The sequence below is a fragment of the Homo sapiens genome, chromosome 14, assembly GCF_000001405.40.
Source record: "Homo sapiens chromosome 14, GRCh38.p14 Primary Assembly".
Lineage (NCBI taxonomy): Eukaryota > Metazoa > Chordata > Mammalia > Primates > Hominidae > Homo > Homo sapiens.
In genome coordinates, this window is record NC_000014.9 from 63,850,725 (window position 1) to 63,866,963 (window position 16,239).

At 43.8% G+C, this 16,239-nt stretch overlaps 1 protein-coding gene across 29 annotated transcripts in view, besides 2 other annotated features; it reads left to right on the plus strand.

Annotated features, from left to right (window-relative positions):
• Positions 1–16,239, plus strand: part of SYNE2 (spectrin repeat containing nuclear envelope protein 2) — a 464,854-nt gene that overhangs the window by 89,129 nt on the left and 359,486 nt on the right. For 21 of the 29 annotated variants that reach the window (XM_011536574.2, XM_011536578.2, XM_011536579.2 and 18 more), the window contains exon 1: positions 2,280–2,419. The gene's annotated coding sequence lies outside the window, so the exon portion shown is untranslated. Of the gene's footprint in view, positions 1–1,776; positions 2,030–2,279; positions 2,424–2,512; positions 2,611–2,704; positions 2,931–3,456; positions 13,746–16,239 lie in introns of those variants that run through there. The other 8 variants (XM_047431152.1, XM_011536576.3, XM_047431149.1 and 5 more) reach the window with 7 other exon arrangements.
• Positions 2,071–3,050: a silencer, noted in NCBI's record as "silent region_5831". NCBI's record gives its function as "represses an Ori minimal core promoter by ATAC-STARR-seq in GM12878 lymphoblastoid cells {active_cell/tissue: GM12878}" and the evidence as "EXISTENCE:reporter gene assay evidence [ECO:0000049][PMID:35858748]".
• Positions 13,648–13,707: an enhancer, noted in NCBI's record as "active region_8519". NCBI's record gives its function as "activates an Ori minimal core promoter by ATAC-STARR-seq in GM12878 lymphoblastoid cells {active_cell/tissue: GM12878}" and the evidence as "EXISTENCE:reporter gene assay evidence [ECO:0000049][PMID:35858748]".

Genomic DNA, 16,239 nt, shown 5'->3' on the forward strand with positions numbered 1-16,239 from the left:
TAAAAATATTTTGAGACATTGTATTCTGGACTCTTTAAGGTGTACTAGACAACATGGAGCAACAGTTCTTTCACTTCAACAAGGGCTTGTAACATAGATGCCTGGAAGGAAACAATGACTAGGAAATTGTAACATTTTCTCCAGAGACTGTTACCATTATGATTTTGCAGGATTTACTGTAAAGAAAGCAATAGACATAGAATGGAAATGAATAGAACCGAGAAGAGAAAAATAGCAGACAATGCTTTGTATACAGCTCCACAAATCCTAGAGCCCAACTTCTCCCTAAAATTGGCTCTCCAGCTTGCAACTCTCCAACCCATCAAGCAAAGTGGTTTTAGGAAAAGACAGCATATGGCCGGATGCGGTGGCTCATGCCTGTAATCCCAGCGCTTGGGGAGGCCGAGGTGGATGGATCACGAGGTCAGGAGTTCAAGACCAGCCTGGCCAAGATGGTGAAACCCCATCTCTACTAAAAATACAAAAATTAGCCAGGCATGGTGGCGGGCGCCTGTAATCCCAGCTACTTGGGAAGGTGAGGCAGGAGAATCACTTGAACCCAGGAGGCAGAGTTTGCAGTAAGCCAAGATTGCACCAGTGCACTCCAGCCTGGGCAACAGAGCAAGACTCTGTCTCAAAAAACAAACGAACGAACAAACAAAAAAACCCAGAAAGTTCTTTTTGGTTTATAGAGCTTTGTTGTGACTCAAGCCATTGTTAATAAATCATGCAAAGCTAGGTAGTCTGAGAAGTGATACCATTGGAAGGATAATCTAGGAATACAAGGAACTCTGCATTTGTGAAGAGTTGAGCTACTGACCATTAATAAAATGTGCATTTCAAATAATTTGCCTGAATCATCCTGGTAGTCACAGAGGTAAACGTTTTTGAAACAATTGTTCCAAATTGTGGGTACAACTTACAACTAATTTTTCCCATTAATATATGTTTGCTGAATGCATTATCAAACGTCTAATCTCTGCTCTTTGCCATCTAGTTTGAGTCACTTAAATAATTCAGGCAAGATTCTGTAGCCACAGACATATATATGAACTTGGAGTTTTAAGAAAAGTTAAGGCCGGTTGCAGTGGCTCATGCCTGTAATCCTAGCACTTTGGGAGGCTGAGGTGGGAGGATCACTTGAGGCCAGGAGTTTGAGACTAGCTTGGGCAACACAGCCAAACCCCGACTCTAAAAAAATGCAAAAATTACCGGTGTGGTGTCGTGCGCCTGTGGTCCCAGCTACTAAGCGGGGGGGGGGGGGGGGGGAATGAAATGGATGAAATGGGGGGGGGGGGTTGAGGCTGGAGGATATCTTGAGACCAGGAGGTAGAGGCTGCAGTGAGTTTAGATCGCGCCACTGTACTCCAGCCTGGGCGACAGAGTGAGACCCTGTCTAAAAAATGAAAAAGTTAAATTTGATTGTGATAGAAACTCAATAGAGAAATATTGAAAATCCGCTGCTTTTTAATGTAATAATAGTGAGGTGCGCCTTTTATTTGGAACTTCAAGTGCCTTAGTAATACGGTAATCACAGCGCTAGAGGTAAGTGGGTGTCAAGTGGCATCATCCTGGGTCCAAAGGGACTGATTATGGGCTGGAAAATCAAACTGGCACCTGCAAGACGCAGTTCCAAGGATGCAGTTCGCAGTGAGTTTTCAGACCTGGATGATGTATGTCAGGTCGGACGACTGAGACAGCTCTCCACTTCCCCTCATCCAAGGGGAAGGAGGAACCCAGTTATCTGCATTAACAAACGCCTCCCCTTCTCTCCAGGTGACCCCAAGATCCGGACCACACTACGAAATACGGATCCAGATTTTAAAGGCCTTCGAATCCAAAGTCCTCGTTTTACAAAGAGCCCGCGGGGTGAAATGACTTGCTCATGGTCTGGTAGCTAATCGCAGATCTGCTCTCTAACTCCTACTTCCAAGACCCAGGAATCTACGGGTGTTGGAGAAGACCCCTCCTGAAATCCTCCAGAAGAGCTTTTTGAGGGAGCTTGTGGCTCCTGTTCACCCAGCCCCGGGTAAGAAAAGGGTCGCGAACCTGCATTGCGAGGTGGTCTCTCCCTCACACCACCTCTGATGTCCCAAAAGACGGGGAGAAAGTTGCCCGCCCCGGGCTGCGGCGGGGCCTGCTGCTCCGCCCCGGCGCTGGCGGGCGCGCTCTACACTGGCCGCCGAGGGGCGAGCGCGGGACCCGGAGGCGGGCGGCGGGCGGGGAAGGCGCGGGGCGTGGTTTGCCGCTTTCCGAGCGCCAAGGAGCGGAGCGCGCTCAGCTGCGCCCAGAGCCTTCGGCCGGACCTGAAAAAGCGAGAGGGAGAGCGAGCAAAAGGCGCGATCCAGAGAGCCAGGCAAGCGGGGCGCCGACCTCGGGCGGCCCCGGCCCGCGCCCTTGCCCCTCGGCCGGGCGGACGGTGGGTGAGCGCGGCCGCGGGGCCCCAGCACCCCGGTGCGCCCCGGAGAGAGTGGGAGGGAGGGGAAGGGGCGGGGGCGAGAGAGGGAAAGGTCTCTGAGCCGGGGGCGGGGGCGGCGGGAGACGGGAACCGACCCGATGCCGGGGTCCGAGCCGGGCCACAGGAAACTTTGCTCGGGTGGGGAGAGCGGGGTGCGCGGAGGGCGCCGTAAACTTGTCAGCGGGCGGGGCGCTCCGGGGATTGGAGCGAGCGCCAGCGGGTGGCGTTTGTCTCTCTGGGTTCTTTGTGTCACCTCCGGGCCCCAGCCCGCCGGTCCGCCCGGCTCGGGCAGGCGCTGCGCGGGAGGCTGTGCCCGGGTGCCCCGGCCGCCCCCTCCCGGGCCCAGGCCCCGGCCCTCGGGGGCCGCTGATTGTTTTCATTCCTCGCGTCACGCCTGGGCGGGAAAGATTTTGAACGCCGCGTGAGCTGGAAGGCGGACAGCCGCGGCGCAGAGATTGCAGGATCGTGAGCGGTGCGGTGCTCGCCCCGGGGACCCGGGAACCCGCGGGTCGGGGCGCACCGGGGCTGGAGAGGGCGCGGGGACGGGCGGCCCGGGCACTGGAGGGGCGGCGGCGGGTGCGGCAGCCTAGCGCCTCCGCGGGGGCGGGGGGGCGCTCCGACGGCCGGGATTATAATTCCATTTTGATTGCTTGGGGTCTTTGTTGTCTGAAATTGCCTTTAGGGTCTGACGGTGGCACCTTCTCCTCCTTAGGTTATTTTTCTTCTGTTGAAAAGGGCGGGGCGGGGGCTGTGTATGGAATCAGTGCTGCTGGGAACATTAGCGCCTTATTTGATTGAGGCTGAGAAGTCCTGTGTAGCATTCGCGTTTGTGGAAGCCTGCTGTTTCCGAAAGTTATTTCCCCCTCCCTCCGTGAAAGGGAGCGTCTGAGCTGGACGCCGCAGGCACGGTTGTGTACAAGCACCAGCAAGTCGGAGCCAACCCGTGAGGGTTCTTTCAAGCCGCTCCACACTTGGCATCACTTTTTTTTTTTTTTTTGAGTTTGTTTTATTTGAAGCAACTTTTGTGTGCTTTTCTAGAAGTCCGAAGGCTTCGTTGCAGATACTATTTGGCTATGCTAGGATGGGTTCGATCATTTTTAGAGTTGGGGAATACAATTAAACCATGCCGGGCTACACCTGGCCTTCTCACCACTCCAGTACCTGCCACTGAGACATCGTAAACATGTTCAGAGGAGAGTGTTCAGCTTTTATGGGATGAATATTTGGTGTGTTTTCATGCTTTAATGCATGACTCCTTCTCCAAGTTGTCTTTCTGGAAAGCTGTGGAGACTCTTAAGGGCTTTTCCTGAGATAATTACTGAACGGCTTTAGCCCGGCCAGCCCCCTGGGGCGGTGGGAACAGGTGTAATCCTCATTAAGTTTTTTCGTGGTGAAGAATGGAGATGTCAAAATAAGTAAAAAGTGGAAATGTTTAGGTCTTTGTCCACATGTTTGAATTAACAAAGCTTATCTGAATTTTTAAAAAATCAAACTCAAACCACTTTTGGTCAGCTAGCCTTAAAATTGTTTGAAAAATCATGTGAATAAATTTACCTAATTAGAAATTTTTTAGCATTTCAGTGGATTCGTGTTAATTGTGTTGTAGGATATTACAGAATGTTTAGAGAACTGAGTCACAATGAGGTTATTCTGAGTAGTGCTCTCACTAGCATAAGGTGAGAGTTAATGTAAAATTTAAAAACTGAATGAATCACATTTTAATAAGGGAACGGGTGAAAAGCAATTGGTTCATTTTTCATTATTATATTTTTCATTACTTATATGTTTTAAATATATATTTTCAATAATTTCACAAAGTTATTTATTCATTTACTCAAACTCCTACATATACCAGCCACTGTGCTGGCTTCTGGAGATCTGAATAATAATAGTTACTCCTTATAGAATGCTTATTTTATACCAGTAGATATTTTACATAGATTACCTTTTTACCTTTTTCATCTATAAGTATTTATTGAGTACCTACAATGTATTGTGCTGGGTGTTGGGGCGATAGTGGTGCACAAGACAGTCGTGATTCCTGCCCTTATCTAGGTGGGGAATCTAGGCAGGAAATAAAATATATTGCTAAACTAATAGCAGCTTTTGAAAGGTAAATCATATCACATCATTCTTCTGTTCAAAACCCTCCATTGGCTTCCTATGTCTCTCTGAGTGAATGGCAAAGACCTGACAGTGGCTCCCAGAACAACCTCTTTTGGCTTCCCTGCCTCTCCATGCTGTGACTTTCCTATCTTATCTGTTGCTCTCCTCCCTACTCGAGTGTCTACAGCCAAACCAGCTTTCTTGCTGCATGAGGGCCTTTGGACTTGTTGTGCGCTGCCTGGAATGACCCCCTGTCCCTAGCTCCCATATCTCTAATGGCTCTTGTTGATCTGACCCCCTTCACTTCTTTACTTGATGTTATTTTGTCAGTGAGCCTTCACTAACCTCCAAATTTAAAATCACAGCCATCCTCGCGACTCCCATTCCTCCTTTCATAAGTTGTTATTTTTCCTCCGTAGCACTTATGGCTATATCATATGTTGCTTGTTTATTGTCTGTCTTTTTCGGGAGATTTTATATCCTTCAGAACTGTATCACAGCTGTTTTATTCACTGTTACACCTTCAGAATCTGGAACGGTAACTGGCGTATAGCAGGTCCTCAATAACTTGAATGAGTGTTGAGTGGAAAGAAGGGTATAACAGAGTGCTGGGACATGGAATAACCAAGGCCTCCTAGAATACTGGTGAGAAGGCCTCTAGGTGGAAGTGACATTTAACTGAGACTTGAAGATGAGAAGGAGCTAGCCATGTTGTTGTGGCATAAGAGGTTGTAGAGAGGAGACAGGCATGGAAGAAGATCCGGCCGAGAGATAGGATGCTCAAAGGCCTCCAGGCAGGAAAGAGCTAGGTGGTGTGTGGATTTATTGGAACTGAGAGGTCATTGTGGCTGAGCACTGTCAAGTTAAGGGAGGGTAGGACTAAATGACAGGGTGGAAATCAGGTGTCAGATCATGCAGGGCCTTTCTGGAGAAATTAACATGGAATCCTCATATGTAGCCTATTAGCCCTTTTTATGGTTTAAGAAACTGGGCATCAGGGAGATTGAATAACTTTCTGAGATTATGCAGTAGGTGAGTGGCAGCGCCTAGAATACAAAGCCAGGCTCGCAGACTCTAACGAACCTGTATCTGACCACTATGTCAAAATCAAAAGACAGTCCCTGTCCTGGTGAAGCTGTTAGTCTAGTGGGAAGACAAGCTATTGCAGTATACACATGTGCTCCTGGGGGCTGTGGGAGGAGGGAAGCCCCTAGTTCTGCCTGGGAGTGGGACAGGCCAAATTGGAAACATACAATCATTTTTCCTTTTTTATTATTGTGAAATATTTCAGATTGGCAACATCTTAATTAAGAAATAATATTAAATACAATAGCCTATTCTCTGAGTCTTCACTGTATGTTCCCCTCCTTTTTTTCTTTTTAAAGACAAAATGCTTGCTTTCACATGTACAAAGGATCTGTGTCATAATGCCCCCTTTCCTACTTTCATCAAATAAAAGATTATGTCTGGAGTAGTGTAAATTCACTTATTTTATTTTTTTGAGACAAGGTCTCGTTCTATCACCCAGGCTGGAGTACAGTGGTGCGATCATGGCTCACTGTAGCCTCTACCTCCTGGGCCCAAGTGATTCTCCCACCCCGGCCTCCCAAGTAACTGACTACAGGTGCACACTACCATGCCTGGCCAACTGTGAATTTTTTTGTAGAGAAGAGGTCTCACCATGTTGCCTAGGCTGGTCTCCAACTCCTGGCCTCAAGTGATCCTCCCACCTCAGCCTCCCAAAGTGCTGGATTACAGGCATGAGTCTGCCCTTGGCCTCGTGTTTACATTTGAGAAGTTTTTGACTTATGTATAGACCTGTGGAACTGTCTCCCTGTAGCTCCTTGCTATACCCTGAATCCCTCTTCCTCATCCAGCCAATGATAGCTTTCTGTCTCTGTGGATTAGTTTGCGTTTTTTAGAATGTTATGTAAATGGAATCATGTAGTAAGTTCTCTTCTTTGCCTGGCTTTTGCTTAGCATAATTATTTTGAGACTCATCCACATTGTATCAATAGCTGATTTCTTTTTATTGTTAAGTAATACTCCATTGTACTGATAGACGCCAGTTCATGTATCTTTTCACCCATTGATAGACATTTAGGTTGTTTCTGGTTTTGGGCTATTAAAAATAAAGCTGCCATGAACATTATACACAGTCTTTGTATGCATATCTTTCATTTCCCCTGGGTAGATGTCTAGGAGTAGAATGACTAGATCCTATGGTAGGCATATGTTTAATTTTTCAAAGAACTACTATACTTTTCCAAAGTGGTTATATAATATAACCAAAATAGTCTATGAGGGTTCCAGTTGCCCCAGATCCTTGCCAACAGTTGGGGTGGTTAGGCTTTTATAGCCATTCTGTTGGGTGTGTAGTGACACCTCATTGTGGTTTTAATTTCCATTTCCCTGATGACTAATGATGTTGAGCATCATTTCATATGCTTATTTACCATCCATTTATCTTCTTTGTTGAAGTGTCTACTCAAATTTTTTGCCCGTTTTCTTGCATTGTTTTCCTTCTTATTGAGTTTTGAGAGTTCTTTGTGTATTCTGGATGCAAGTCATTTGTCACGTGTAAGATTTGCAAATATTTCCATTCAGTCTTATCTTAGTCCATTTTGTGCTGCCATTACAGAATACCATAGATTGGGTAATTTATAATGAACAGAAATTTATTGGCTCATGGTTCTAGAATCTGGGAAGTCTAAGATTGATGGGGCGACATCTGGTGAGAGCATTTTTGCTGTATCATTACATGACAGAAGGGCAAAGAGAGGGTGAGAAAGAAGCAAAATGGAGCTGTTTTATTATTTTTATTTTATTATTTATTTATTTATTTAAGACACAGTCTCACTCTGTCACCCAGGCTGGAGTGCAGTGACACAGTCTCAGCTCACTGCAACCTCTGCCTCCTGGGTTCTAGTGATTGTGGTACCTGGGATTACAGGTGTGCGTCTCCACACCGGCCTTTTTTTTTTTTTTTTTTTTTTTTTTTTTTTTGATTTTTAGTAGAGACAGGGTTTCACTGTGTTGGCCAGGATGGTCTTGAACTCCTGGCCTCAAGTGATCTGCCCACCTTGGCCTCCCAAAGTGCTGGGATTACAGGCATGAGCCACTGCACCCAGCCTATTTTTTTTTTTGAGACAGTATCTCGCTGTGTTGCCCAGGCTGGAGTGCAGTGGCTTGATCTCAGCTCACTGCAACCTCTGCCTCCCAGGTTCAAGCGATTCTCCTGCCTTAGCCTCCTGAGTAGCTGGGACTCCAGGTGCGTGCCACCACTCTCAGCCTGATTTATTCCTTTATAAGGAACCCACTCCTGCGATGATGGCATTAATCCATTAATGACAGCAGAGCCCTTATAACCTATCACCTGATAAAAGTTCCATCTCTTAATACTGTAATATTGTAACAGTATTGCCTCTTAATAATGTTACGATGGCGATTAAATTTCACCAGAGTTTTGGAGGGGACATTTAAACCATAGCAAATTTATTACATTCTCTTAACAATATCTTTTGAAGATACTGTTCTTAATTTTGATGAAGTACAATTTGTCAATTTATTCTTTATGGATTGTACTTTTGGTATTATTATCTAAGAAATCTGCCTAATTCAAAGTCAAAAAGGCTTTCTCCTATGATTTTTTTCTAAAATTTTTATAGGTTTTGGTTTAACATTTAGGTTCATGTACTTTAATTTTTGTTTATGGTGTGAATATGGGTGGAAGTTTACCCCACCTATGCCAGGAACATTTGGTAATTTTTGGAGACAGTGTCTGGAAACCATGTCTGGTGTAGGGACGAGGGGCATTTGTTCCCAGCCATCTACTGGGCAGAAGTCTAGGATGCTGCTAGATACCCTACAGTGGATAGGTGAGATCCTCTCAATAGAGAATTATTCAGCCAAAGTGTTAGTAGTGCCAGGGTTGAGACACTCTAGGCTTGAGGTTTATTAATTTTATTGAACTCCATGAACCAGCTGTTGGTTTCATTGATATTGTTTAATATTTTTCTATTTTCCCTTTGATTGATTTTCACTCAGATCTTTATTTTTCCCTTCTACTTTTGGGTTTAATTTGTTCTTATTCCAGTTTCCTTAGGTCATTGATTTGTGACTTTTCTTCTTTTCTGATATAGGTGTTTAGTCTTTTAAATTTATTCCTCAGTACTACTTTAGTGACATCTCACAAATTTTGATATGGTGTGATTTTATTTGTATTTAGTTAAAAATACTTTTAAAATTGGCTGGGCGTGGTGGCTCACACCTGTAATCCCAGCAGTTTGGGAGGCCAAGGCAGGCGGATCACGAGGTCAAGAGCTGGAGACCAGCCTGGCCAACATAGTGAAATCCCATCTCTACTAAAAATACAAAATTAGCTGGGTGTGGTGGCACATGCCTGTAATTCCAGCTACTTGGGAGGCTGAGGCAGGAGAATTGCTTGAACTCAGGGGGTGGAGGTTACAGTGAGCTGAGATCATGACGCTGCAGTCCAGCCTGGGCAACAGAGCAAGACTCTGCCTCGGGAAAAAGAGAAAACAAAGAAAGAAGCAAGTCACTATGTGCAGCCTGCACTAAAGGAGTGGACTCCACTCCTTTCCTCCCTCCTTTCTCTCTTTTCTTTCTCTCTCTCTTTCTCCCTTCTCCCCTTCCTTCCCTCCCTCCCTCCCTCCCTCCCTCCCTTCCTCCCTTCCTTCCTTCGTTCCTACCATCTGTCTGTCTGTCTAGCTTTGTTGCCCAGCTGGCTGGAGTGCAGTGGCACCATCTTGGCTCACTGCAACCTCTGCCTCTCTGGCCCAAGTGATCTGCCTGCTTTGGCCTCCCAAAGTACTAGGATTATAGGTGTGAGCCTCTGTGCCTGGCCTAGAAACTAATTTTCTTAAACTAAATCCACTAAATTATCATAGAGCAGACCATTGCTGTTATAGAAACATATTTTAGAATACTGCAGAGTATTACAATATTCAGAGCACCTGCACTTGGAGAACCCTCCCCTCCAGACAGGTTCTGCAGGGTGCACTGCCTCCTTTTCTTTCCTCTGGGCTGCATTAGGAGGAGGGAGGTGAATGGGGAGAAGGAATCAATCTTCCTGTGTTGACATTTTCCAGACCCTGAGAAACGTTGAGTTGAAAGATAAGTGTGAAAGCATCTCTTTCTTTTGATGGTGTGTGAGATGAAAAGCACTTGCTAATAGCCCCTCAGGTCAAAGTAACACATTTGACAAAAAGGAGCCTCAAGCTTTTGCTTGTCAGTGTCCATATTTGATTGGAAATTTCAATCTGAGATTTGGTGCTTGGATTTTCCTAGAATTTGCCAATTACTTGTTGCTCTGGTTCCAGCTGACTTTTAGTCTTCCTTTGGGTACTACCACTGGGTGCAGTTTGTTATCAGTGAGTAGCTCTTCTCTATCGGGCTGTGTAAATGTACCCCTATTTAATTCATTCAACAAATTATTTTTTAAATACTTATTGAATCTGGGCTCTGACACACAGGTAAAAGTCAATGTCTCTTGCCACTTGTAAGCTGTCTAGAAGCAGAAAGGCCCATAAGCAGAGGAACATGCAATCAGTGGGGTAATTGGTAGTCACTGCAGTGGAAACATGAGCAGGGCAAAGCATGGTCAGCTGGAGCAGTGGTTCTCAAAGTAGGGTCCAGGGACCAGGAGCAGCCAACCTATTGAGTATAACCTTGACAGTGGGGCCCAGCAATCTGTGTTTAATAAGCCTTCTAAGTGATTCTGATGCATGCTCCAGACTGTGAACCATGGGCATAGAGGATTAGACAATCTTTGAGATTTTTTCCAGCTCTTCAAGTCTATGCATATGGTTAAGAAATGTGATATTTACCACATTGTTTTTTTTTTTTTTTTTTGAGACGGAGTCTTACTCTGTTGCCCAGGCTGGAGTGCGGCGGCACAATCTCAGCTCACTGCAACCTTCGCCTCCTGGGTTCAAGCGATTATCCTACCTCAGACTCCTGAGTAGCTGGGATTACAGGTGCGCACCACCACGCCCAGCTAATTTTTGTATTTTTAGTAGAGACGGGGTTTCACCATGTTGGTCATGCTGGTCTCGAACTCCTGACCTCGTGATCCGCCCACCTCAGCCTCCCAAAGTGCTGGGATTACAGGCATGAGCCACCGTGCCTGGCCCTACCCCGTTGTATTTTAAGAGCATTAGTTGGCACTAATATCATATAAAACATTAATTGCAGTGTAGGCTGGGCACTGTAGCATATGCCTGTAATCCCAGCATTTTGGGAGGCTGAGGCGAGAGGATCACATGAGCCCAGGAGTTTGAGACCAGCCTGGGCAACATAGTGAGACCCCAATCTCAAAAAAAAAAATTAGCTGGGCTATGGTGGTGCATGTCTATAGTCCCAGGTACTAGGGAGGCTGAGGTGGGAGGATCGCCTGAGCCTGGGGGATTGAGGCTGCAGTGAGCCGTGAGAGACACAGTGAGACCCCGACTAAAAAGAAAAAAAGGAATGTAGGTAAAACAAATTCAATTTTACTATGTGTGTTGTTGAAGTGAGCACATAAAACAAATTCAAAATGATACAGTTATGTTTGACAGTGGAGCAATAGTAAATTGGACTTAAAAAACTTTATTATGAAAAATTTCAAATATATTCAAAAGCAGAGATAATAGTAAAATGTACTATTGCATAACGATTACCCAGAATGAATATTATTAAATCCTGTCAATCTGGTTTTACCCAGGTCCTCACATATCCCACCCGTGCTGGATTATTTTGAAGCAAATTTTATACATCATATCATTTTATCCTTAAATAATTGGATTTTAAATTATTTGAGATATTAAAGTGCTAGAAATGAATTTGAAACCAAATCATGTGTAGCCATTTCCTGGTTTCCCTTACATTATAGATAAAACTTATCTAGAGCTAATTTACACAAAAGTTGGATAAAACAAAACAACAGTTGGACACATGTACATATATTCGTATTTGCATAACATCTACTAAAAGTATACTTTTTTTGTTGTTGAGGCGAAGTCTCGCTCTGTCACCCAGGTGGGAGTGCAGCGTGGTGTGATTATGGCTTATTGCAGCCCTGACCTCCTTGGCTCAAGTGATCCTCCAGCCTCGTGTTTTGATATTTTGTAGAGACCGAGATCTCACTGTGTTGCCCAGGCTGGTCTCAAACTTCTGGGCTCAAGAAATCCTCCTGCTTTAGCCTCCTAAGGGGCTGGGATTAGAGGCGTGAACCACTGTGCCTGGCAAAAATAAGTATACTTGTCACTACCGTGAATACATTTTATTAAAACATTTTATTTACTGTCATTATGTTAGCAATATGTGCATTATACTTATAGATAATATTCTAGAATAGTAAGAAAGACTATACACGCATGCCCTGCCAAAATTGAATTGTTGCACTTGAAGGGGAAATTTTAATTTGAAAGGCAGGTTTTTAGGAAGGTAGATATTAGGTTTTGGGGCAGTTTTTATTAGAAGGTTTTGGGGCAGTTTTGTTTTTTTTTTGTTTTGTTTTGTTTTTTTGGAGACAGAGTCTCACTCTGTTGCCAGGCTGGAGTGCAGTGGCGTGATCTTGGCTCACTGCAGCCTCTGCCTCCTGGGTTCAAGTGATTCTACTGCCTCAGCCTCCTGAGTAGCTGGAGCTATAGGCATGCACCACCACACCTGGCTAATTTTTGTATTTTTAGTAGAGGTGGAATTTCACCATGTTGGCCAGGCTGATCTCAAACTCTTGGCCTCAAGTGACCTGCCCGCCTCAGCCTCCGAAAATGCTGGGATTATGGGCCTGAGCCACCGTGCCTGGCCTTGGGGCAGATTTTTAATATATGTAAATTAAGAATTCTCAGTACTCATTTCAGCAGTTATGTTGCCTCATTTGGAAAGAAAAGGTATTCAGCATGTGGGGATGCATAATACATTTTAAAAATCCGTTCGTCTTAGTCAATGTGCTCCATGGTGTCTTTTTTTCAAGGTTCGAGATGACACATTTAGTAGGAGATCAGGTTATGGGATAGTTCATGTTTGGAGAGGGGACAGAATTGATTTACAGACATACCACCTGTTTTCTCCTACTTTGGCTTTGGAGGACAAGTTGTAGTATCCTGAGGAAAAGCTGATTGTATCACTTATGACTGAGATTTTCATCTTTAGCCGCTTCTGTGTGATACATGAATTAATGGGTCATAACATAGGAGTTAGCTAATTTTCATTTTAAAATATTACTCAGAAGATATTTTTATCTTAATTGTACATTTCAACAACATAAATAAGCTGTTCAAGACTGTCTCCCATGCCTCCAAAACAAATAAAAACCCCCCACAACTCAAATGCATATAAGCTGTTACTATAGTATAATGGTGAGTTATAGCCAGTGTATGATGGGATTGTTGATAGAATAATGCATATTAGAGCTTTTAGTTCAAAAATTTGAGATAGTGATTCAGAAAGAAAAAAAGGAATGATTATCATGAATTCTGTTTATTAGAATTCTGTTTATTAAAGAGTTAAAGATATGTTTTATTTTTTTATCTTTATTATCATTATTTTTTCGAGATGGAGTTTCGCCCTTGTTGCCAGCGCTGGAGTGCAGTGGTGTGATCTTGGCTCACTGCAACCTCCACCTCCCGGGTTCAAGCAATTCTGCCTCAGCCTCCTGAATAGCTGGGATTACAGGCGCACGGCACCACGCTTGACTAATTTTTTGTATTTTTCGTAGAAACGGGGTTAGCCAGGCTGGTCTCGAACTCCTGACCTCAGGTGATCCACCCGCCTCAGCCTCCCAAAGTGCTGGGATTACAGGTGTGAGCCACGGCGCCTGGCCAAGATGTGTTTTATTATTTGCACTTGTGTAATGGCAAAGAAAATAGGTTACTAAGCTTGCTCTTGTTAGAATATCCTTTGTAGTCACTCATTTGATGATGTTGAGTAAGAATCTTTCCTCTGTTAATACGTCTTTGTTTAAAAGAAAATAAGTTACCTTTGTAGTCTTTGTACATTTTTCTTTGCAGAAAGTTTCCCCTCTGCTGGATAATAATTAATTTTATAAAAGTGTTTAATCCAGTACTGATTATATTCCCTTGTGAGCTGGATGAAAAGAAACTTCTGAATGTTTGTAACCACAGATTGATGATTTGGTTACAAAGACTCTCTGTTGGTGATGGTTTCTGAGAACTGGAAGGTAAGCTTGTTCCTTGGGTGAGTCATCATGTTGTCTTGCAGTCGGTCATGTGTTTTCTTAGCAACTGCTGTTGATTTCAGGTTTGAGCAGGGTGAGCATGTTTTGAAGTGATCCAACAGATTCTTTTAGGTTATATATGGCTGCTAAATCTTATACACTTACTGTTACTATTATGTGTCTTACAAGGAGTGAAAGATTGAATTCTTTTTTTATCTCTACCTTCCAAATCATTTCTTTTCTAATTTGTTTTTCAGGGGTAGTGAGGACTGGGAGTGGGGGTAAAAAAGGAGAAAAATAAATGAATCTGGGATATCATGAGTCTGCCTGTTTATGCCCCTGGACTAGAGCAGAACCAAAAGGACCTCCATGTGCTGATAGGGTTAAATATGATTTCCTGGGGTGTTGATCTTGAGTAATACTCCGTGTGCATACATTCTATAGGAACAAGTGAATTTTAGAAATGTCTGTGGTATAGTGTAGTGGTTAAAAGCTTGGGTTCTGAAATCAGTCTGACCCCTGGTTCAAATTCTAGCTTTGCCATATACTAGAGGTGTTATTTTGGGCAAATTACTTAACCTCTCTGAGTAGAGTTTCCTCATCTGTAAAAGTGAAACTAAAATCCCACGTACTTATATTACTGAGATAATACAGGTAACAGAAAGCATAGTACCTATAGAACACATGGTAACAAATGCTAGTTATTACATTCAGTTCAAGGGTGCAGTACACAAGGGGCTAGGTATCAGGTGTTTAGGGGACAGTCAGAAATGAATCATATATGAGCCCTAATTCTTCAGGAACTGGGGGAGATGGCCTTGTAAACAAGTCACTGTAGTATTATCTAGAATGGAAGAAGTGCCAACTGAAGTACAAGCAAGGTGCTGTGGGTGCATAAAGCAAGTGATGCCAACTTTGGGGAAGTTAGGGCTAATTTTGTAAAGCATTTGCCATTTGAGCTGAGGGTGTATTGCCAGGCCTAGAATGATGAGTAGGGCTTTTATGGGTGGAGAGTGGAGGAGAGTGATTCTCCTGCCTTAGCCTCCCAAGTAGCTGGAGGCTACTCCCAAGTGGAGGAGAGTAGATTTTGTATTTTTAGTAGAGATGGGGTTTCACCATGTTGAGCAGGCTGGTCTTGAACTCCTGACCTCAGGAGAATCACGTGAACCCAGGAGGTGGAAGTTGCAGTGAGCCGAGATCACGCCACTGCACTCCAGCCTGGGCAACAAGAGCAAAACTCTGTACCCACCCCCCCCCCAAAAAAAAAGAAAAGAAAAAAGAAATTTATCTGGCCTTTAAAAAAAAGAACACCAGGCTGGGCAACCAAGCAAGACCTTGTTTTTACAAATCAAAAACAAAAAACCTGTTTCCATCTACTTCTGAGATTCCTTTTTCTTTAGCATATCTTCTAGCTCATTAAAAAAGGATTTATGGATCTTCTTGGAAGATAACACTTCCAACAACAAAAATGTTCCTTCTGACCCTTTATCTCCAATGACTTGGATTACAAAATTCTTCAATTTTCTTTTCATGGAATTTCAGACTATAGTTTTGAGATTTCTAAGAAATATTTTTTTCCTTATCTCAAATCCTTCCCTGTAGAAATATCCCTGATATGTCCTCAGCCCCCAAAATACATATAATATGTTCTCAACCAACAAGAAACACCACTTAAGTTGTTTCCTCTCCGCTGGTGAACAATTAGAACACTGCTTTAAAAATGTCTTATGCATTCCACAACATTTTCCTGAGTAGAAACAAAACTCGAAACACCAAAGGAACTTGAGATGTCAGACTACTAAAACAAAAGAAAATCTCTGTGGTATTCTTTGGGTGAACTCTTTCAATTTACTTAAAAAGCTGGCCAACTAAGAGAGGTACTAAGATTTGCATCTGTTTTAAAACACTTATTTTGGCCAGGCATAGTTGCTCACACCTGTAATCCCACCACTCTGGAAGGCAAAGGTGGGAAAATCGCTTGAGCCCAGGAGTTCAAGACCAGCCTCAGCAACACAGCTAGACCCCATCTCTATTCTTTTTTTTAAAAAGCTTATCTCAGTATTTCTATATTCCTTTGGACAACCTACAGTGCAAAAAAAGTGAAATATCAGTGACACCTACTTTGTTATAGCTTAAAAGTGAGAACAGGTAAATTCTCTAACATACATGATCAAAATTGTAAGTTCTGTATTTGAAAATAATGATAAAACAGCAATAAGAATCACTGGCTGGGCGTGGTAGCTCATGTTGAAATCCCAGCACTTGGAGGCCAAGGCAGGAGAATCACTCGAGCCCAGGAATTCAAGACCAACCTAGGCAACATAGTGAGATCCCGTCTCTACAAAAAATTTAAAAATTAGCCAGGTGTGGTGGCACACAACTGTAGTTCCAGCTCCTCAGGAGACTGAGATGGGAGAATTGCTTGAGCCCAGAAGATGGAGATTGTGCCACTACACTTCAGCCTTGGCAATAGAGCGAGACCCTCTCTCCAACAAAA